General features: G+C 45.6%; 2 long non-coding RNA genes and 1 pseudogene across 4 annotated transcripts, besides 5 other annotated features; 2 read left to right on the forward strand and 1 right to left on the reverse strand.

Moving 5' to 3' along the window:
* LINC03090 (long intergenic non-protein coding RNA 3090) lies at nt 1,086-13,005 on the forward strand. 3 transcript variants are annotated; one of them, XR_928462.3, is made up of 7 exons: nt 1,086-1,952; nt 5,714-5,921; nt 6,065-6,301; nt 6,629-6,720; nt 9,612-9,708; nt 12,314-12,433; nt 12,547-13,005. It is a non-coding gene; the product is annotated as a long intergenic non-protein coding RNA 3090 (long non-coding RNA). The 3 variants fall into 3 exon arrangements; XR_928460.3 differs by having other exon boundaries at nt 5,714-5,917; XR_928461.3 differs by having other exon boundaries at nt 5,714-5,810.
* Nucleotides 9,670-10,265: an enhancer, noted in NCBI's record as "H3K27ac-H3K4me1 hESC enhancer chr8:102149216-102149811 (GRCh37/hg19 assembly coordinates)". NCBI's record gives its function as "activates a minimal SCP1, AML or CMV promoter by ChIP-STARR-seq in naive H9 embryonic stem cells {active_cell/tissue: H9 hESC(naive)}" and the evidence as "EXISTENCE:reporter gene assay evidence [ECO:0000049][PMID:30033119]".
* Nucleotides 9,799-9,918: an enhancer, noted in NCBI's record as "active region_27727". NCBI's record gives its function as "activates an Ori minimal core promoter by ATAC-STARR-seq in GM12878 lymphoblastoid cells {active_cell/tissue: GM12878}" and the evidence as "EXISTENCE:reporter gene assay evidence [ECO:0000049][PMID:35858748]".
* Nucleotides 9,963-10,257: an enhancer, noted in NCBI's record as "tiled region #802; HepG2 Activating DNase unmatched - State 4:PromP, and K562 Activating DNase unmatched - State 5:Enh". NCBI's record gives its function as "activates a minimal TATA promoter and a strong SV40 promoter by Sharpr-MPRA in HepG2 and K562 cells {active_cell/tissue: HepG2 | K562}" and the evidence as "EXISTENCE:reporter gene assay evidence [ECO:0000049][PMID:27701403]".
* On the forward strand, nt 10,641-10,874 carry RN7SKP249 (RN7SK pseudogene 249; annotated as a pseudogene).
* Nucleotides 13,006-16,762: 3,757 nt separating the features above from the next.
* On the reverse strand, nt 16,763-21,003 carry LOC105375676 (uncharacterized). Its single transcript, XR_928465.4, has 3 exons — nt 20,985-21,003; nt 19,891-20,174; nt 16,763-17,520 (listed from the first exon to the last, which is right to left on the reverse strand). It is a non-coding gene; the product is annotated as an uncharacterized LOC105375676 (long non-coding RNA).
* Nucleotides 22,409-22,553: an enhancer, noted in NCBI's record as "145 bp enhancer 220/221 fragment used in the MPRA reporter construct; PK_construct_3324". NCBI's record gives its function as "activates an SV40 promoter by MPRA in HepG2 cells {active_cell/tissue: HepG2}" and the evidence as "EXISTENCE:reporter gene assay evidence [ECO:0000049][PMID:23512712]".
* Nucleotides 22,476-22,486: a transcriptional cis regulatory region, noted in NCBI's record as "NFE2L2 motif; enhancer activity is reduced when this motif is scrambled". NCBI's record gives its function as "necessary for full MPRA enhancer 220/221 activity {active_cell/tissue: HepG2}" and the evidence as "EXISTENCE:site-directed mutagenesis evidence [ECO:0005528][PMID:23512712]".

The following is a 22,765-nucleotide window of genomic DNA, read 5'->3' on the forward strand; positions in this document are numbered from 1 at the left end:
ACAAGCTCCCCGGTGATGCTACCGCTGCTGGGCTGAAGGTGACATTTGGAGCCACTCAACACCCGCTGGCCCTTTACCTCTCCTCTTGTGTGGAAATAGAGAGGGCGTGGGCGCTGCAGCAGATGGACAGGGGTTTGAATCCCCCCTCTGCCACTCGCTAGTTAGGCGGAATTGGGCACAGCTCTTTGTGTATAAAATGGGGTGGGGGTGGGGAGCAACACTCACTGCACGTTTCTAGTGAGGAGGAGGCGAGATCTTGCCTGGAAGATTCCTGGTGCCCTGAGTCCTTGGTGAAGGTCAGCTGTATTGGATGCTTTCGCTCTCTAGTGGCCCTCTTGGCTGAGTTGGCCAGGGAATGACAGAAGCAGAGGAAGGAACCTTCCAGGCCCCCTCCTTTCCCCTCTCATAGGAAAACTAGGCTGAAAACCATCACACTCCACTGCCTCCCCGGGGGCTGGAAGGGAAGGGCAGTATTGCTGTGTGTGGGAGCAGAGGGATGGGGGACCAAGAGCCCTGAGCGTCCCTGAGGAGGTTAGTGGGATTCTGGGGGGGCCTGAAGCCTGGAGAAAACAGGTCTCCTGGGGCAGACGCTGAGGGTTACAGGGGGACCTGGCAGATGCTAAGAGCCACAGAAGGCCAGAGAGTAGGAGGCCACCTGGTCAGGACCACAGTGGACACAAGGAAAAGGGGTGGAAGTAGGAGAGGGGACTGACAGTGTGTGAGGAGTCTCAGTTCCTCCTCGGAAATGTTGTAGCAGAGCATTAATTGTACCGATTTCCTGGAAGCCATCTGAGGCTGAGTCTCACCCCTCCTGCTCACTAGTTGCGTGGCCTTGGGCAAGGAGACTTAAGCTCTCCGGTCCTCAATTTCTCCATCTGTAAAATAGAGTTATTATCACTGGTAACTCACAGGATGCTGTGAGGACTAAACAAGGCAATCTTGCAAAGCCCTCAAGTCAGCAGGTGACACACAGTGAGCCTCCTATAGGTGATGATGATGATGATTCCCATTGCACAGATGGGCAACCTAAGGCTCAGAGGGCTTAAGTAACACCCAGGTCTGTGCTCGCCTCTCTGTCACGAAGGTGGAAAAGTGCCTCTTAGGCTCTCATTAGATCTGGACACACCTTTTAACCAGTATTCTGAGTTGGCGTAGGGCCGATCGTGCATGCTGGTGGCGAAGCCCATTCTTGGTCTGGTTCTTCTGAGGCTCCAGCCAGAATATGTCTCATTTAGTGGCTCAGTGAAGGGGTTGGAAGTCAGAGGCTCTGGATGAAAGCTAGCTGCCTTCCTCAGGACTGGTACCGGGGCCACGTGTCATGAGATTGTGTGTGATATAAGATGTGCGAAGGTTCTGTTAGGATCTGTCCAAATACCAGGCACAGTTAGGATTTTTTCTTATTAATGCACATGAGATTGTAAGACCACACTTTCTTTTAAATCACAGTGTAGCTCTGATGAACAGCTCAGTAGGCAGGGTTTTTTGAAAAACAAACTTTCTTCCACTCGGAGCTCATGGACATGGAGCAAGGGACCTGGAGCTGAGAAGTGGAGCTCTGGTCCTAGGGCCACCTCTCTGGGTTCCCAAAGTCCCCTTGGAATGCTGTAACCCCGCATTGTTCTAGAATCATTGCTTTTCATGTCCTTCTCCCCACCCCTAGACAGTCAGCCCTTTGAAGGCAAGGACTATGTCCTATTCCACCTTGAATTCTCATCACCAAGCGGAACGCCTGACACCTAATCTAGTCAGTGCTTACTAAGTGCTCATTATCAATGCAAGAATAACAGAGCTATGGAACCTGGCAGCCACCTCTTTTCTTTGGGCCTCAGTCTTCTCATGCAGAACTTGGGATTGGACTAAATTGGATCTCCTAGGCTGCCTCTGACTCTAACAATTCTCTGATTTAAATTATTCTTCATCTGGATGTAATCCACCTTGCTTTTCCATCCCAGGTACACATTTTTACATTTGACCTTGAATTTGTGGTTTGCTCCTTGCTCAGGTGGGTGGACAAGCTTGATAAAATGATTATAAATGCTCTGCTAGTTGAGGCCGGAAATTCCTTTATCATTAAATTCTTCTTGACGAGGCCATTGGTCTGTTTTTCACTAGAGGTAGATTGGGCTGATCATTTTAGGTGGGTGGAACCAGTTTTCTCTTCCCCACTCACCTGGGCAGCCTCTATAACATCCTTGGGCTCATTGCCTCTGTGTCCTCAGTGGAGTGACCACCCTCTGCCCCCTTTTCTTTGCCTGGGCTTCTCTCTTGGCAAAGAGAATGTGCAGGCTGTTTAGATTAAGGGAAGGTGCCCCCTGCCCCCAACTGGACTCGACAGGTCACATAGGCCCACGAGACTGTCATCTCCCACAGGAAAAGATGAGTGATGCCAGCCCCCGTCCCTGCTAAAATACCTCCCTAATTGTTAGGCTAAGAGAGTCAAAACACAACATACTGTCTAAAGGGAATCTTTTCCCTTCCAGGAAAGCAGCCATAGTGGGATTTTCTGTAATATTAGCTTAACACTTGGCTATCTGCCACTACAAGTCACTATGTGTGATAGTCTGCAGAGATGGCCATCAACAGGCCATCCCTGTATTCACATGCTATTCCTCTCATCACAGGGTGGAGTCAGTGCCCCTCCCCTTGAAACTACGCTGCTCGTGACTGGCTTTGGCCCAAAGAATGAGACAGAGGGGTGCTGTTCCAGTTCTAGGCCTAGACTTACTGGCTTGGCAGCTTCTATTTTCCCTCTCTTGCCACCCTGTGCCACCATATAAAGTCCAGGTTGTCCTGCTCTGCAGAGGACCTGCAGCCAACCCCAGGGCCCCAAGTATGAGAGAGGCCCTAGTCATAGAGAGATGCCCTAGTCATAGTCAGGCCAGCCTGGCCCATGCCACATGGAATCATTCCCAAATGGTACTTCTGGGCTCTGCCCAAAGTCCTGCCCCACAGAACTGGGAGCAATACAGATGGTTTTGTCATTTAAGCCACCAAATTTTAGGGTGGTTTGCTAGATAGCAATCGTTAACAGAAACACCATACTCTAATTTCTTCATTTGCAAAATGGTGGGTCTACCTTGCATCTTTAAGGTCAGGCCAGTGCCTCGGTAACTCATGTCCAGCTCTCTTTCCATAAATGAGCGTTTTAACATCTGGCCCCAAACAAGAGTTTGAAATTAGGAAAAAACTCCCCTAAAGCCCAGAAACTACCACTAACACAACTAGAATTCATCAGGGAAAATAGAAGAATGTGCCATTTCAAAGCACTGGCTTTGGAGCGGAGCTCCCTGGCTTTGAGTTCCAGTTCTGCCTCACCCTGGCCATCTGATCTTGGACAACAAGTTTCTTTCTACAAGTCTCAGTCTCCTTATCTGTAAAATAGGGTAATAATAGTACCTACTTACAGCATTAATGTGAGGATTTAGTAAGATCATGTCAGTACATTGTTTAGCATGGTGCTTGCATGTTGAGGGCATTTAATGAATGGTAGCCCCTCTTTTTGTTGGAGCCTATAATATTTTTTGCTTTTATGTCTGTCTAGAGAGGGAGTAAAAAATAACCAAAACACAATAGCCCAACCCTGCCCCCCAGCCAATAAGAAAATGAAATCGCACATCACCAGGGCACTCATAGCAATGGTAAATATCATCTCTGTAGGTTCAGAGAAATTTAAAGGATTTTTTCAGTGTTAAAAAAAAATTGCGTGGGAGGGACAGAGGGAAGAGGCTGGATAATGACTTACTTTTGTTTCTAAAAGGTAATAATCCTCCTTGAATTTATGATTAAAAGAAGGTCAGATAAAAAGGATTAAAAATTAATTTCTGGCTTTGTCAAAATAAAGCACAAGAAAGCGGGATGTTGGTGAGCACATTTCTCAAGAAAAATAATAGTGGAATAAGAAAAATCAGAACCTATCCTTCTGCCATCTGCCACAGATGATTTTGTAGCTTTCTACAAGAATCTTATTACCATCTTCTAAGAGGCTGATTGTAGTCACCAGCACAACGATGAAGACAGGGGCACCACCACCCACACATGCCCACAGCGTCCGCCTGCTCTGGCAGCGAGGCGGCTGCATGGGAACTTGGTCCTCTCCCAATTTCCTCACTCCTATACAGGAATGCAATAGTCAGACGAAAGCTCTGCTTCAGCAAGGAGAGAGTTACTCTTTAGAAAATAGCTGTTTCAGGCAGTGAGAACAATGAGGAGAGACTGGCCTAGAGGAGACGAGAATAACACTTCAAACCCACATTTGCTTCTAGTTCTGGGCCTCCTGGGTCTCCTCTCTCCCAGCCTAATCAAGTGCTACATTTTCTAGAGCTTCTAAAACCTGGGACTGCCAGATCTGAGGTGCAGGAAAAATGTACCCTCCCCTCTTCCAACTCCTCAAATCACCTGCCCACCTTGTTTTCCAAAGGAAAGCAAGACAATACAAGACTGTTCTCAAGTGGCTGTCACCTACTCAGGGGCTATGAAAAGAATTTAGAGCTTTGAGATGAAAATGTCACAGGAGAAAATGAGATGAAGGCCAGGAGATGATTTTCGAAGAAGTTTTAAGAAATGCTGATTTTTTTTTTTTTACCACCTCTTTGAGTCAGTTTTCCTGAATAAGTGTGTGAGGCTGGAACATGTGCGTGTGTGTGTGTGTATGTGTGTGTGTGCATAGACATATGCTGCATACATATATACACACATGCATATATACACCATATGTATGCACACACACACACACATATATATATATATATGCACATACATGTGAATGAAACGAATGCCACCCAGTGATTTACTCTGTCCAGGAAGGCTTGAATCCATGAGAGTCTAGAAATGCACTAAACCCTTCAGGCACTCATGATTCAAGCAGACCTTTTCACTGGGTCTAGAATTGTAAAGACTCAAGCCCAAAGGGTAGCTTGATCTGGTCCAGCGTGATTTTAATTCGGAGTCTTTGGTCTCCTTGTCTAGAGATGTTCTAGCTCCCCAAGCAAAATGCTGCCCATCTGGTGTCTCCTTGACTCTAAACACTCTGGCTACATGAGCTGGCAGTTTTTCTTTGAAGGAGTCTTTAAAAGACACATGAGCCGATAGGTACCCTACAGGGAGGATGATCAAGTAAAAATAGACCACATAAGCTCGGGTGGTCAGTTCATTTAAATGCCACGAGACCTTGCATTGGAACTTTTTTTTTTTGTTTTTTTTTTTTGAGACTGAGTCTCGCTGTGTTGCCCAGACTGGAGTGCAGTGGCACAATCTCGGCTCACTGCAAGCTGCGCCTCCTGGGTCCAAGCAATTCTCCTGCCTCAGCCTCCCGAGTAGCTGGGACTGGAGGCGCCTGCCACCACGCCCAGCTAATTTTTTGTATTTTTAGTAGACGGGGTTTCACCGTGTTAGCCAGGATGGTCTCGATCTCCTGACCTCATGATCTGCCTGCCTTGGCCTCCCAAAGTGCTGGGATTACAGGTGTAAGCCACCGCCCCCGGCCGCATTGGAACTTTTAACCTGCTAGGTTCATTATTCGTAAAGCTAACTGACAATACTGAATTACTTTCAGGAGAGTCTTAGCTAAGGCTGTGACAATTGCCAGTAGTGGAAACTAATACGAATCTTTAAAAGTTTCATAATAGGTGGGCCCAGACAACAGTGAACAGTGAGCGAGGGGCTCAGATGAAGCCACCAGAGCTTTCCATCTCTTGGTTTTTACCTCTCTCTGCAGGCTCTGTTCTCACTCATGGCTGATGGGCAAAGGCGACTAAGGAGGCACGGCTCCGTGAGGATGTCCTTACAACTTTGCAACCCCCAAGGAAAAAGAGGTTGTTTTCCCAATATCTACTGTAAAACCTAAGAGGAAAATTTCACGTTGCTGCAGCTTGGATCATGCATTTATCATTTGGACCACCTCTGAGGACAGGGAGTTGCAGTCTGTGAGCCACACAGGGAGTGGGTCGGGCAGTAACTTTAAGGAAGTGGGGACAGAAGAAACTGTGCTCACAAAAAAACAAGTGTTTGCCTCATGTGCATAAACTACCTTCAACATTGACTAGATCTGTCTCTTCTCTTCTTTCAGATGTGGATTTTATGGAATAGATGCTATGTGGTGGAATCCTGAGTCACGGCCAAACAGCAAATGCCAGCAAGAGTAGAGTAGGAGGCATTTCTGTGTACACTTTGGGAAAAAGTCCATTCCTCACTTGGTTTCATTTCTGGCCTGAGCCGCTGTGTCCTCCACCTGAAGCCCTGACCTCTCCGTTACTGACTGGATCCCAATGTGCCACAGTTCACCTGCATAAGGAGGGGGTCGAAGGTATGTCCACACCCTGCGGCCAATTGTTGCCGTGGCCACAGGTGTAAGAGTTCCTGTCTGAGACAGACCTACTCTCTTCAGCCACCGGTTGATGCCACAGATCCCTGACTGTGACATCTGGAGCCAGCTCACCCGGTTGTGTAGATTCAGAAATGTTTATTCCTCTTCCCTCTGAGGCCTGCATGTTCTGACCCTGTGGCTCACGTAACAATACTAGCTGATATCACCGTGAGCCATGCATTGTTCTAAGCACTTAAATTATATTAATTTATTTTACTCACATTGCCTTATGTGGAATGTATAATTATTGTTATCCCCACTTTACAGACAAGAAAACTGTGAGAGGCTAAGTAATTTGCTGAGCTCATATGACATCTAAATGGCAGAGCTCAGAAACCTCAGGGATTAGAGTGAAGTAGGTAAGTATACAGACCCTGGAGTCAGACCAGCTTCATCATACTGCTTGACCTTGGGCGATGGTGTAATTTCTCTGAGCCTTGTCTCCTCATCTGCAAAATGGAACTTCACATTCGCAGTGTATTCCAGGCATTCTCTGTCCTCTTCTTGGCCTACTTTCTCCTCCTAGGTCATCTCCTTCCATCTTGTAGCTTTAAAAGCTGCCTATATACTGATGATTTGCAATGTTGGATCTTCAGGCTCGCTCTCCCCCATGAACCCCTAATTCTTTTAGCCACTTGATCATTTCTGCTGGAACATCCATTTGCATTGTACAGCTGGCAAAAGGGAACTACTGCTTTTCCTTACTTAAGTCTTTCCTCCCCATCATCCCAATCTCAGTGCGTGGTACCAGCATCTACCCAGTTGCTCAGGTGAAGAGCCTAGAATTATAATTGAATTTCTCTTTTTGCTCGCCCCATAATCAATCTTTTATTAAATCCTCTTGGCTAACCCCTAAAATATTCCTGAATGCAGATCACCTTCACTGTTTCCAGTCATAGCGGTCATCCCAGCCTACGATCTCCAGCCTTAATCACTACATGACCTTCTAATGGGTTTCCCTGCCTCCATCCTTGCTGTCAATTACATCATCTTCACATCTCTGCTTAAAACCCCTCCATGGCTTCCTGCTGCTCCAGGCAAAAATCCAAACTCCTTTCCATGGTCTACATGGTCCTACTTCACCTGGTCTCTTCTTCCTCCTCCATGCCCTCCTACCTGCTCTCTCCTTGTTCCCTGACGGCAGGATGTTTGTCTATTTTGTTCACTGCTGGATCCTCAGAGCCTAGAATGGTGCCTGACACCGTTTTAGACAGTGTTTTGCTCCTCTTGTTGCCCAGGCTGGAGTGCAGTGGCGTGATCTCAGCTCACTGCAACCTCCACCTCCTGGGTTCAAGTGATTCTCACACCTCAATCTCCCAAGTAGCTGGGATTACAGGCACGCGCCACCACACCTGGCTAATCTTTTGTATTTTTAGTAGAAATGGGGTTTCACCATGTTGGCCAGGCTGGTCTCAAACTCCTGACCTCAGGTGATCTACCTGCCTCGGCTTCCCAAAGTACTGGGATTACAGGTGTGAGCCACTGTGCCCGGCCACCACCACACTTTTTTCCTGTCCCAGGGCAGTTGCACCTACTGTTCCTTCTGCCTCTAGTCTCTTCCCGAAGCTCTGCAGGGCCACATCTTCCCTGTCTCTCAGGTCTTAACTCAGTTGTGAGCTCCTCAAAGAGACCATCCCTGAACATCGAAGCAGAATAGCACCCTTCCACAGTGCTCCAGCATATCACTCCATTTCCCATAGCACCACGTATGAGCACCTGAAATAATCTTCAGGTTTTCAGGTTTGTTTTTTTTTTTTTTTTTTGAGACAAGGGTCTCGTTTTGTCACCCAGGCTGGAGTGCAGTGGTGCAATCTCGGCTCACTGCAACCTCCGCCCCTCAGGCTCCCACCTCAGCTTCCTGAGTAGCTGGGACTACAGGGGGGCGCCACCGCACCTAACTCTTCATATTTTTGGTAGAGACGGAGTGCGATGTTGTCCAGGCTGGTCTCGAACTCCTGAGCTCTAGTGATCCACCTGCCTCGGCCTCCCAAAGTGCTGGGATTACAGGCGTGAACAAATGCGCCTGGCCTAATTGTCAGTGTTTATTTAGGTTGAATTGCCCATCTTGCCCCATGAGAATGTGACTTACTGACAGGGACCTTGCCTGTCTTATTCATTGCTCTATCCTAGCACCCAGAATAGTGCATGGCACTTAATAGGTGCTCAATAAGCAATTGTGAGCTGACTGATGTGCGCTTAAGGTTGTCGTTAAGATTAAATATATATTAAAACACTGCTTTAGAAAACTAGCTGTTTCCTTTTTTTTTTTTTTTTTTTTTTGAGATGAAGTCTTGCTGCCTTGCCCAGGCTGGAGTGTGGTGGCATAATCTCGGCTCACTGCAACCTCCACCTCCGAGTTCAAGCGATTCTCCTGCCTCAGCCTCCAAGGAGCTGGGACTGCAGGCGTGTAGCACCACGCCTGGCTAATTTTTGTATTTTTAGTTGAGACGGGGTTTCACCATGCTGGCCAGGCTGGTCTCAAACTCCTGACCTCAAGTGACCTGCCCACCTTGGTCTCACAAAGTACTGGGATTACAGACGTGAACCACCATGCCCAGTCAAAACTGGCTGTTTCTAATAAAGTGAAGCATACACTTACAGGGAAAGCATTCTACTCCTAGGAATATACACAAGATAAATGAACACACACATCCAGAGGAGGCTTTGCACAAGAATGGTCATAGCAGCCTGATTCAAAATAGTAAAAAACTGGAGGGCGGGCGCGGTGGCTTATGCCTGTAATCCCAGCACTCTGAGAGGCCGAGGCGGGCGGATCACAAGGTCAGGAGATCGAGACCATCCTGGCTAACATGGTGAAACCTCGTCTTTACTAAAAATACAAAAAATTAGCCAGGCGTGGTGGCGGGCGACTGTAGTCCCAGCTACTCGGGAGAGTGAGGCAGGAGAATGGCATGAACCCGGGAGGCGGAGACTGCAGTGAGCCAAGATCGCGCCACTGCACTCCAGCCTGGGCGACAGACAGACTCTGCCTCAAAAACAAACAAACAAACAAACAAACAAACAAACAAAAAACTGGAAATAACCCAAGCATTCATCAATAAGGAAATAAACGAACTGTGGTCTGTTCATAAGTGAAATATTGCTGACCATATTTAAGAATGACCACATTTAAGAATGACTTAAGTGATACACACAATCACATGGGCGAATTTCACAGACAATATGTTGGCCAAACACAGCCACACAGAAAAAGGACATCTTGTGTGATTCTATTTCTATGAAATTCCAGAATAGAGGAAGTTAACCTTTCCAGTGCTACCTGCGGGCTGAGAATGACGCACACAGCTTTTTTGATACCCGGAAGTGAGACAAACTCATAAGATGGGGTAAGGATTTGCATTCACAAATGGTGGAGGGGTCAGTGCGGATACTGCTGGTGGAAAGAATGTCTATAGCCTCAGTAATTTTGGGAAGCTATGTGCAAGGCAGCCCGGGCCAATAAAGGTTTGTGGAACAGCTGGAAAAACACAGAGCTTTCAAAGAACACCAAGGAGGATGCTGCGGCTTCACGCAGAAATCAGATCTGGAAATGTAATGCACACGAAGAGTATGACCCCAGCAGTGACCGTTGCTGTGGCAGGTGGCTTCCTGCCCAGCTGGAGGGAGGAGGGTTGCTGGGGGGAAGTGTGGTAAATCTTTTCCTGTGCTGCGGGCCCTTGTCCTCCAGGCGGCACGGGCCTGGGGTGTTCCTCCCTCTAGTGGTAAGCAAAGCTCCTTCGGGGGCCCTTTTTCGCTTTGTCTGAAACTATGCAAAGAGTGAACAAAACAGGAAGAGGCCTATCAGGTGTCTACGTAAGAACCAACCAAAAGATCAAGACTCCTTCCCACTCCAAGCTGCTGGCGGTAGTGCACAGAATGGCAAAGGCCCTCTGTGATCCTCTAGCGGCAGTGTCTCCCCAGCTTGCCCGTCGGCCCTCCATGGTGCTGCAGCAGTGGCTTTAGCCAGTTGGGAAACCCAGAGATCCAAATTAACTGCTCAGTGTGCAGCCAGAGTCTTGTGAAACCTACAGTAAGCTGAATTCAGAAAATGTGCGATGACATGACAAGGCCACAGAGACAGAGCGAAGGGAACAGGCTCCTTGGGGACACGGATATGCTCCACAGGGGCCACTTGCTTCCACTGGGAATTATGTTAATCCTGTGCGGGTATTTACTGTGGCTTCTCTCCTCAAATGCACTTCCCTCCAACTGATCAAAAAGTCCCCACTTTCTGGAGGGTTGGGAATGTGTTTTATTGTTCTCAATAATATCCAGTTTTGGATGTGAGGGCGATCTGGCTGAGACATCTGTCACCCCATTGATTGCCAGGGTTGATTCAGCTGCTCTGGCTGGCTAGGCGGGTGTCTCCTTCCTCCCTTGCTGCTCCATGTGCACCCTCCCGAAGCCGCACGCTCAGTGGAAGAGGACGACCATCTCCGATAGAGGACGACTGGTCTTCGGTTAAGGGTATAGACTAGCTGCGCTCCCCTGCTAGAACCTCCAGACAAGCTCTTGATAATATCCAGTCTTAAAGAAGGATCTGTTACATGTGCTTCAGAACAAGTGGATTAAGTACAATTGAAGATTCCATGTATAATTTCAATCATCTTTTAGTTAAAAAAAAATTTAACTGAAAGCATTTCCGTAAGAGCTACTCCAACCTGGAGATCACCAAGTAAAACGGAGGAGAAGGGCCAAAAGTTTGAGAAAATGGATTTCAGTTTGAGCTGAAATACTAAGTAAAGTCCTACCTAAAGTTGACTTTATCCCCAAGTGAAATGGAGAGAAATCAAGAGGGTAACATATGAGATCAGTCAACCGTGGGCATGACAGGGAGTCAGTGAGTAAGCAGTTTTAGAGAATCAACAGCCTGCAATTCCATCAAGATAGTTGAGAGACAGACCCAGGAATCATCCTAGCAAAGCGACAGCCTCCGTCACTTGCAGTGGCTAAAAGATGTGAAGACAAGACACCATCAAGCCCAAATCTTATTGGTTACAAAAATGGCTGAATCTAATAATGCTGACAACACATTATATCAACCAAGGTGAAGTCTAAGTAGTTTTACTTTATTTAGATGATGTATCTGGATTTTTCCTGTTCAATTTTCTTAGATCTTTGAAGGAATTGCCCTGTGTCCATTCCAAGTATTTCTGGTGAGTCATCAAGTTTCCTGGCTGCAGGAGTGGGTTCATTCCCCCATGCCCCAGCAACAGTGATCAGAATAAAAAGGGTGAATGCAAGATCTAATAGGCCAAATCCATTTATATACGGATGGTGGGATGAAAACACTTTTTTTTTGTTGTTTGTTTTTTCTATCGAGATTTTTATAATGGAAGGATATACATCTGAGGCTGTGGTGGGAAGAGCTTTCTGTAGCATGAAAGGAAGAAAAGAGAAGCAGAGAGGAGAGGCAGACAGAGATTCAACAGCAGTGGTTTCCAACCTTGGCTAAACATTGGAATCAACTGCGGAGCTTGAAAAAATACTGGTGCCTGGATCCCAGCCCCAGAAATTTTCATTTGGTTGGTTTTCGGTGCTGCCTAGGCCTTGGGACTTTTAAAAGCTTTCTTGGTGATTCTTACAAGCAGCTGAGGATAGAAACCACTTGTCTTGAAGCACCAGGTCACATTTGAGCCCGGGGCACAAATTCCAGCTGTTCTTTCTTGTTCTGTAACCCATCTTGGTATCCTCAGTTGTCAATAACTTCTCTCTCTCTCTCTTTTTTTTTTTTTTTTTTTTGCTTAATTTAGTTTGAGTTGAATTTCTGTTATATGCGGCCAAAAGAAGTCTAACTAAGAAACTAAAAATACTCTGTAATCATAGCTAACATTGATTCAGCCTCAGTGATGTGCAAGGCACTGTTTGAAGTGCTTACTTGCAGTAACTTGTTTAATTTAATTCTTACAGCATCCCTATAATTTGAAAGCCATTATTGTCCCTATTTTACAGGTGAGGAAATGAGACATCAAAAGATTAAGTGACTTGCTAAAATTTACACTGCCTACGAAAGCTGACCTGGAATGTGAACCAGAAATTGTCCTTAACCAAATCACCTCACTGTCTCTCAAGGTAAAACCAAGTAAGGAGGCAGATTCTCTGCATTAAACCCCAAAATGGAGTCTTCAAATAGCCATAATATAAGTGCTGTATAAAAATAATTTAAATTTTTTTCTCTTTTATAGAGATGGGGTCTCACTACATTGCCCAGGCTGGCTCTCAAATTCCTGGCCTCAAACGATCCTCTTGCCTTGGCCTCCCAATATGCTGGGATTACAGGCATGAGCCAACACACCCAGCTGTGAGTATTTTTTATCAGGAAGAAGCTTTTGGCTGTAAGAACAGAAAGTTCCAACTCTACCAACTTGCACGCTTATTTAATATCTGGAGGTGGGGCAGTTCCGGGACTGGCTGTTGCAGTAGCTCATTTGAAGCCATCTGGTCTCCAGCTTCCTTCCCCCTTTCTGCTCTGCCCTGCCCAGTGTGCTGGCCTCTTTCTCAGGCTGGTTGCCCCCAGCTAGCAAGGGGGCTGCAGACCCCAAACATCGCATTCTCATGCAACAACCATAGGCAGAGAAAGGTGCTGTTTATTCACCTGTGTCTCTTCTTACCAGGTATTAAAGAAACACCTTGTGCTAAAGGCCTCCAGTGGAATTCCCCTTGTGTTTCATTATGGGAAAGGGGGAATGGGAGCACCAGGATTCACTTGGGTCCATGGGGCATTGTGAAAATGTGAAGGGGGTCATTTTTGGCTGGCACAATAATTCAAGGAGGGCTATGACCATGCAGTGGGCAGAGGCTAGAGATGGTAGACAACCTGCGATGTGTGGGATGGTCATGGTCACACTCTGTGACCTGCATGATTTTTGAATGTCCCATTGAACATTTGCACAAATGAAAAATCTTCAAAGTGATCTGAGCTAAAACCAAACTCTCATATATAAACCCAAAGTATTTAAAAAACACACTGTATTTTCCAGGAAAGCAATTGCTGTGCACATCGAGAGAAGATCTTGCTTTGTTTTGTTTAGAACTTTTCCAGGAGTTGTTCACTGTTTTGGAAAATCACATTAGCAATGTCAACATTACTCATGGAATTCGAGCCTCCAGTACAATACACCCGATGGGCCTGCCCCAGTGGCTGCCACATTGACTGTGATTCTAGGTATGGATCCAGGCACCTGCAATGTTATTTCTTTTAGCACAGTTCTGCCAAGAATTTGCATGTTGAAATACATGTTGTTTTATTGTACATTATTTCTCTTTTAATTCCACTTCATAATAGTTATTTGATTTTTAAAATTATGTGTACAGATAGTTTATGTTGTATACAAATTTCATTTCAGTGTAGTAAAAGGGACATTATAAAATATTTGTAGGGCTGGGTGCAGTGGCTCATGCCTATAATCCCAACATTTTGGGAGGCTGAGGTGGTAGGATTACTTGAGCCCAGGAGTTCAAGACTAGCCTCGGCGACATAGAAAAAACCCTGTCCTTACAAAAAATTAAAAAAAGAAAATTAGCTGAGCCTGGCGGTGTGTGCCTATAGTCCCAGCTACTCAGGAGGCTGAGCTGGGAGGATCATTTGAGCCCAGGAGTTTGAGGCAAAAAAATATAAAAATATTTGTGATAAAAAGAGGGTACTGGGTCCAACAGGGAGGAGATCCACTGTTTGGACCAGTAAAGATTCATCTCCTGGGTCCTCAGATGGGACGCACCTCCCTGAAGCCTCTACCTAGGCCGAGGAGGATAAGTACCAGGAGAGGCAGGGTTCTTTGGGGAAGCAAGAAGTAAGAATTGGCCAGGGGGTAGCAAGAACATTGTCTGCTCCAGGCAGGTTCTATTCAGCGCCATCCAGGAGCTACCTGGATTCAGTAGCTGCAGCTTTCCAGGCAGGAGAGAGGAGTTTGTTGTTGAGAAAGACACGAATCATCAGGTCCACCATGGCCTGGATAAAATGCCATTGACTGAATCCACCTTCCTTGCTTTTTATTCTAGCTCCACAGAACAGTCTTCTGATTACTAATGTGGCATCCTGGCTACAATTTTTTTTTTTTTTTTGAGACAGAGTCTTGCTCTGCTGCCCAGGCTGGAGTGCAGTGGTGCAATCTCGGCTCACTGCAACCTCTGCCTCCCGGGTTCAAGATATTTTCCTGTCTCAGCCTCCCAAGTAGCTGAGAGTACAGGTGTGTGCCACCACACCCAGCTAATTTTTGTATTTGTTGTAGAGACAGGGTTTCACCATGCTGGCCAGGCTGGTCTCGAACTCCTGACCTGAAGTGATTTGCCAACCTTGGTCTCCCAAAGTGCTGGGATTACAGGTATGAGCCACTGCACCTGGCCCTGGCTGCTTTGATACTAGGAAGAATTAGCCAGGTGGCTCCCAATGCTGGTCATTAATGTTCTGATCCCTGAGAAGGGGCATTCTCAGTTGTGAACAGATGTACTGGTGCTCTGATCAATTCTTTATTCTCTGTGGATCTGGTTAAGTCAGTAGCTCAGAACTGACCTATTCTGGGTGTCCTGACAAAGTGGAGTTCTGGGACTTGCAAAGCTGAAGTAGAAAAAGACCACCTCCAGGTGCTGCCACCAGAAAAGGCCCTTCCTGGGTAACTGCTGGCTTCCCTGGATGGCAGGGGCTTTCAAACTTCTGGCTGTGTAACCTCCGAAAAGAAAATGAAATGTCATACAAATGCCCACTCTGCAGAGCCAGTTAAAGGGGAGCCGTGCTACCTGGGGGCTGGGGATGGGAGGCCGGGAGACAGCTCCCATGCATCCTGAAAGCCTCTCCCTGTGGTGGGCGCGGGCTTCTTGAAGATGGACAGGCTCTGACCGCTTTTGTCCTCTCTCTGAGTCACAGGATGAAGTCTTGGCCTCTGCCATCTCCCAGTTCCTCCCTGGGGGTGATAGAGGGAGCCACCCACACAGAAGCTCCTACCCAGGGACTTGATTCCTCTCAGTGCCACGCCTGGGGGTGCACCCAGGTGGGGCCCCTGTATTCACTGCGGCGGTAGAAGGGCTGTGAGCAGGCTTTCCTGGTTAGGCTCTGTATTAGTCCGTGTGCGTTGCTTTAAAAGAATGCCTGAGACTGGGTAATTTATAAAGAAAGGAGGCTTATTTGGCTCGTGGTTCTGCAGGCTGTGCACAAAGCATAGGCCCAGCACCTGCTTCTTTCTGGTGAGGCCTCAGGAAGTTTCCAATCATGGCAGAAGGCAAAGGGGAGCCAGAGTATTACGTGGAGAGACTGAAAGCAAGAGAGGGAGGAGGTGCCAGGCTCTTCTTAAACAACCAGATCTCCTGTGAACTCAGAGTGAGTGCTCACTCATCATCATGAGGACAGCACTAAGATATTCATAAGGGTTATGCCCCCGCAACCCTAACACCTCCCACTAGGCCCACCTCCACCGCTGGAGGTCACATTCCAACATGAGATTTGGAGGGGACAAACATCCAAACCATATCAGGCTCTTTCCTAATCATTTTTCTTTTGCATCTTAAAAGTGAAGAGGAAAGAAGTCAGGCTAAGCCACAGTTAAATGGTCCATGGGGGAACAGTTAAAGCAAGCATCAAAATATTAAAGACATAAAGAGCTTTCACTAATACCAGGTCATCAGTAGGTCAGGCCACCGGCTTTCCACCCTTCATAAAAAAGGGAGGGGGCGATTTCCTGTCCAGTTCTGAAGGGAGCATGCATGGAGAATGCTGGAAAACCAGGCCTCTTAAGCTCAGAAACAGTCTGTGGCCCCAGCAAGCCCCAGGGCCCGGGACCCCAAATGCAGAAGAAATGCCTAGTAGCCACAGGGCCCAGAGGGGTGTGCAGTACTGGGAGACAGAGATGGCACTAATTCCCAGGACAGTGGCGGCCACCAGGGCATGCCCAGGAGCTCAGGGGTCTTGGTGGTACCCGGGAAGCTCCTTCCCTCACCCAGCAAGCAGCTGAGGCTGCGGAGACCAGGTACCTGCTCAAGAACATTCATCTGACAAATACTCATTATTGAGTGCCTACGGTATGCTGAGCTGTTCCAAGTGCTCTAGATGGGGCTGGCTGTGATCAAAACAGAAAGCCCTGCCCTGAAGGACTGGGTAGACCTCAGAAATACCTCTTATAAGTGTGAGAGTTTGCTTTATGCTTTTCTGTGTATAAATGGGCTTGCATTGCTTTGAAAATTAGGAAAAAGGTTATTAAAGAATGTTATTAGAAATTGTTTTTGAATAAATATCCACGAGGAAATAGAAACATGATAAGGAAATACCAGCTAATTACACATCCGCAAGTGCAGTGGACTCTGTACTCTGATGAGGCCTCAGGAGGTGTGGTCAGAGAATCAACACCAGATGGTCCTAGAAGAACTGATTGTGAACTGTTATTGTCAAAGAAATCATCATAGGAGAACTGTAACTGTTGGTCAATCTGCTGATGTTTTATTCATGCACTTCATTATTCAGTCAAGAAACTTTTTTTGTATTAGATTCTGAGAACATAGAGATGGGCAAATTACCATCCTGCCCTCTAGGACCCCACATTTCTGTTGCAGGGCAGAAATGTTAATGGTTACAAACAGCAGAATGTTGTAGGTGGCATGGTAGAGTTGGGGACTGGGTGTGGAAGGGACCACAGGAGAGAGATGACCATTTTATCTTGGTCCACAACACAGAGTCTGTTACACAGTAGGCTCTTACTCCGTTACTGAACAAATAGTGTTCGGGCAAAGCTTCATGGATGTGAGAACCTGGTAATTACACATCTTTGATGAAAGTGTGAGAGTTTGCTTTATGCATCTATGATGAAAGATGACATCTTTGGTTCTTGCATCTGTTCCAACTGGCTTTGCTCTTTTCTTGGCAACATCAATAACTTTTAGATGTTGTGTGACCACAGCTGGTCTTCTTTTCATCACATCACCATGTGTCCTTGCATTCCTCACAATAGTTCTTTATTTCATTCTGCTCTCCCTCCATTGCTACCTGCTCTTTCTTCATAATTTTTCACTCCTACTTCATAAAAGCCATGTCTTCTTATGTCCTAACGAAGACGCAAAACAGTAGTTTAGAATTCTCTTCCGGTTCATGGAGTACATCACTTTCAGAAACAGGACCTTCCTCTAGACTTCTGAATGACATTCCATTTTCTTTAATCTGCAGTACTGCAGAGCTTATCCTGCAAGAAGGAAAATCTGTTCAGATCTACTGGCTGCTAAAAGACACATTGTGACTCTCTTGACTCCACTCACTGTCCATTTGGACGTTTGTGGAATCTCATTCTTAGATAGACAACTGTAAGATAGTGTAGTGTGCAGAGCTTGGTGCAATTTCCAGTGACTACAGAGCACGTATTCCTTTCATGTAGCTTTGTAGGATTGAGGCAAAATCTTCTCCTACAACTAATATCTGTCTAGTTGACACTCTGAATTAAAAAAAAGTGCATGTGCGTGCACACGCGCGCGCGCACACACACACACACATAAACATCTGGCCGCCAGAATATACTGTTCCCAGGGCTTTTCCTGGTTCTGTCATCGCCCAAAACCTTACTTTTGTTGGAACTATGCTTCCTCCAACAATTGACCTATTGCCAGCCTATGCCTGACCACCTCCACCACCATGCACATATGTACCCAACTTTCTGCACTTTTGTTTTCTTAGAATTTATTTATTAAATGGGGACTTGCAATTTCTAAATAAATGCAGAAAGAGGGGAATTGTTGGTAAGGTCAAGAAGAGGAGAATGGAGTGCTGCTTTGAAACACAGAACCCAAGCAATTGAGGGATGGATTCCCAATTTTTTTGGTTGATCCAGACCCTGGGCTTCTAAGCCAGAGGTAAAAAAAAATCTAGAGAGAAATAAGATGGCTTCCTTCTTGGCATGATAGGCCTCTTCTTTTGAGATGATGGAACATGTACTCTTTCTTAGTTTGATTTTGAAGTTTGCCTTATAGAACTTAGAATTTGTCTACATTTCTTCCATATTTGGGCAGTGGATTTTCCAATTGTTTTAACTTCTGGTGGGGTTACATGCTTTTACTCTTCACGCATTCTAAATAGGTATTTTAGTAGAAAGTTGACAAAGGTTATAGTAGGTACTGATAAGCAGATTCAATTTAAAACCAGAATCCCTGACCTATTACATACTTATTCATTCATTGATTCATCCAACTAATATATATACACACATATATAGATGTGTGTATATATATATATATATAGATGTGTGTGTATATATATATATATATATAGATGTGTTTATATATATATACATATGTATGTGTATATATGTATATATATATATATATTTTTTTGAAGGTCTCACTCTGTCAGCCAGACTAGGGTGCAGTGGCACGATCATAACTCACTGCAGCCTTGAAAATTCCTGGGCTCAACCTGTCCTCCCACCTCAGCCTCCTGAGTAGCTGGGACTACAGGCATATGCCTCCACACCCAGCTAATTATTTTATTTTGTAGAGTTAGGGCCTCGCTACTTTGACCAGGTGGCTCTTGAACTCCTGGCCTCAAGTGATCCTCCTGTGTTGGCCTCCTAAGGTGCTGTGATTATGGGTGTGAGCCACCAGTCCCAGCCTTCCAACTAACGTTTATTGAGTTCAAATTATTTGCCTGGTCCTATGGTAGACACCAGTAGTAAAAACCCCACCCTGTCTTCATGAAGCTTATTGTCTAGTGGGTGTTTCAGGTTCCAGGTAATTCCATACAATATGATAAATGCTTCCAGATTAAGTACAAGGAGTGCCTTCTCTGCCCTACAGTCTGGGCTATGAACCAGACGTCGTGGGAGAAAACACTTGGGATGATAGGTTAAAGGGCCGACAGTATTGAAGGTTCTTGATAACATGTTCATAGGTTTAGCCTTTGAACCTGTGAACCTTTAGATGGGGGAGCCCCTGAGGAATTTAGTGCAAGGAAGTGAGTGACTTATTGAAAGCTGTTATTTAGGAAATTACTGCAGTAGCCAAGTAAGGGGTGAACTGAGATGGGAAGAGAGGTGGGAAGTAGTAGGGCCAGTCAAGGAGGCTAACCCAGGAGGCCAGTGGGGATGCACTGAGAACTTGAATTAAGAAGGGTAGAAACAGAGAGGACAAGGCATTTAAAGGATCTGGTAATCAACCGCATGTGGGTGGCAAGGAGCAGGAACACTGGAGATGACACCAAGATTCCAGGTGGCTGGGGAGATGCTGGCACCATGTACCCAGAAGGGACAGCTCAGAGCAGATGCAGCACTGGGAAGAGATGGCGATGGTGGCTTTAGACATGTGGAGAAGGTAATCCCTACCTGTCTGCTCTTTCCTTCACTTATTTTTATTCAGCTTATTAACTCCAATCTTAGGTTCTAATACATGAGGCACTGAAAGTTTCTACAAAGAAAAATCCAAATAAACCCCCTTGGAGAAGATACCAAGGCTGAATCAACAGTAATTATGCTAACTCCTCACTTGATTCCATATGCTCTGGGGTCACATGTGGCTAGCTGGTGCTTTTCATCATCAATATGCCCACCCACCCCAAGCAATTAACTTACTTTGCATTCCCAAAGGATAGGTCTTAGTTGTAATTTTCCATATGGAGGCAGTGGGCCAGACATGTAGGGGCCTCTGCCCAAACCACAAAGAGTATCAACTGTCAGGACAGAAACAGTATTCCAGAAATCTGATCATTCAGTCTTAAATATTCAAAACCTCACTTATTTGAAGAGCCAGGGCAAGCACAAACTTGGCGCCGCTTTGAAGTTATTAAAATCTGGTTCTATTCTTCAGTATATGGATTCCCAGGAAAATTCCACTCTGATTTGCCAACCCCTTAGGTCTGTGGGTTATAGTAAAAGAGAAGCTGCAGATTAGTTCCGATTAATTTCCATCATAAGAGTCAATTCTTGCTTTTCAGGGAGAGATTAGGGAAGGAATGGTAATTAAAATCCACAGATAGCACAAACACCCAATGTAACCAGCAATTTCAAATCCTCCTCCACTGAATTTTTCTTATTAGAGGTGTCAAGTAGCAAGGCTCAGCCCACCTTTGGAGGCTGGATCTAACAAAATGTGAACACATCGGCAGGCAAGCAGGTGGGAGCAAGAAGATGAACAATGAGAAGCTGGGGGTTGTCAGCCTTCTGAGATTGAAAATCGGCCAATCTTGCCCACTCTCTGATGGTGTCATTTAGAAGAATCACATCAGTACTGTTAGTTTACATTGTGGGCTGCCAGGCAAGATTTTTAGAAAGGCCAGCTTACTCTTTGTTCATCATAGAAGAGCAGCTCACTGATCAGGAGCCCCACCCTTGTGGAGAATGGGTTTGCAGGAATTGCAGGCAGAAGGAGGTGACGTGGCAGAAGCAGACCTCCAAGAACACAGGCCTTTCTTATTTGCCTCTGGCCTTAAGCTTTGCCAGTTTCAGCTATTGATGTGACATGGGCCCAGCCCAGCTTGCAGCTGCTACCGCTTTAGATTTTCTTAGACACAGCCTTACACAGCCTTCATAGGGCCTCCCATTTGCCTGGCATTCGAGGCTGCACATTACCTAACCCAAATCACACCTTTCTTCTCACTACTCTCGAAACCATACACAGCCTTTGGCCAGGTTCACCCCCTGGTGGGTAACATATCTGTATTTCTCACCATCTTATCTTTGCTCCTGTCATTCCCTAACCAAATCCCCCCACCCCCCAATTCTCCACCCACTCCTCTTGCTGGAAATGGAACTACTCTTCAACGTCCAGCTCTTCCTTCAAACCTTCCCTGTTTCCCCCAACTCGAAGTGATCATTCCCTCCTATGACAGCACTTCAGTGGTACGTCTTTGATGACACCACATTATGCTTTCTATTATATCACAGTAGCTTATATACCTTATGACTTTAATGTTCTCTGAAATGTGGGTCATGACCCATTAGTGAGCTTTGAAATCACTTTAGTGGGTTGTGACCTGAATTTTAAAAAATGAAATAGAATAGAGTAGAATAGAACACTTTAGAGTACATTACACATAAACATATTTCCCTCTTTGGTTTATGATCAAAAAGCTTGAAAGTCACTGCTGCAAGTAGTAGTGATGTTTTCAGCTTTTATATAACAGAAAGCCTTGATCCAACCAGCTTAAATAACAAAGAATGTATTATCTTACATAATGCAAAGTCTGGAGATAAGGCAGCTCTAAGTTTGGTTTATTAGCAATTTTTTTTCTTAGATCTACCTCTTTTGTCCTATTAACAGTTTATCAACAGCATCAAGGACCCAGATTTTTGCCATCTCTGTTGTCTTTCTAGCTACCTCCTCTCCTGTTTGCCAAATGGCTGTAGGACTTCCTTGCATCATAACAACATCCATAGAAAAAAGAAGCTATATATTCTTTGAGTCTCTATTTATCAGCAAAGAAATCTTTCCCAGAACTCTCCCTACCCCCCAGATCTTCTATATTGTTCTTTGATACAAAGTGAAATCAAATGAATTACATGCCTAGTCAGGAGTGGCAAATCAAAATTAGTCTAAAGCAAAATTAGTTTAGACTATGCTAAGAGCACCTTCATGAGCATCTCTCTGATTCTACTGGTCAGGGAGAAGGGGAGATTGATGGATCTGGATTTGGGGTAGGCAAGCAAAAGTATCTTCCAGCCACACACAAGGTGCATCTCAGGAGGGCCAGGGTCCCTTTCTCTGCAATGCTTCTCACGTAGCAAGTCTAGACAGTCACCTCCACTTCCAGTGATAAATGAAATCAATCACTTTGCCTCAAAGTATGAATATTCATGGGAAGCAGGGTCCAAATATCCAATTTGAGATACTAGAGGCATTCTGCAGACATAGCTCACGATTTTTTGTTCCTATATAACTCACCAGAGGTTAGCATTTTTTCCAGGTCTTAATTTTTCTATTGAATTATCAAGTGTAAAGGGCTAGATTGACAACATTGTACATTGTAATACAATTTGAATAATAAGATACATATTTGTCACAATGCAGATGGCAACTGAAGGTTCACAGATGGAATTGTGGCTCTCTAGACGAGATGGTGAGCGTGTGGCGGTGGGTGTGGAGAGAGGCGGTATCAGAGGTGGGGAGACATTACATCATCCCAGATATGGAGTTTCTTTGGGAACTCTGGCAGGGTTATTGCTGAATCATTCCGTGAGGCAAATTATTGGTGTGTTAGCTGGACAAAGCTCACTGTAATTATGCCCTTGTGTGTTCCACCACTCCCCTTGGCATTTCTCTGCTTATGCTGCCGTTTAAGGCCAGACTTCACATGAACACATAAAATCATCATATCTGCAAGAGTCAGTGGCAGAGAGGATAAAGGCAGTGCTGTTTTTCCTCTCTTGAATACACGCATGTGTGTATGTGTACATGCGCATATACAGACACACACACATCCCTTATCAGAGAAACCGCAGGTTCAGATGA

Source organism: Homo sapiens, chromosome 8, assembly GCF_000001405.40.
Source record: "Homo sapiens chromosome 8, GRCh38.p14 Primary Assembly".
Classification (NCBI taxonomy): domain Eukaryota; kingdom Metazoa; phylum Chordata; class Mammalia; order Primates; family Hominidae; genus Homo; species Homo sapiens.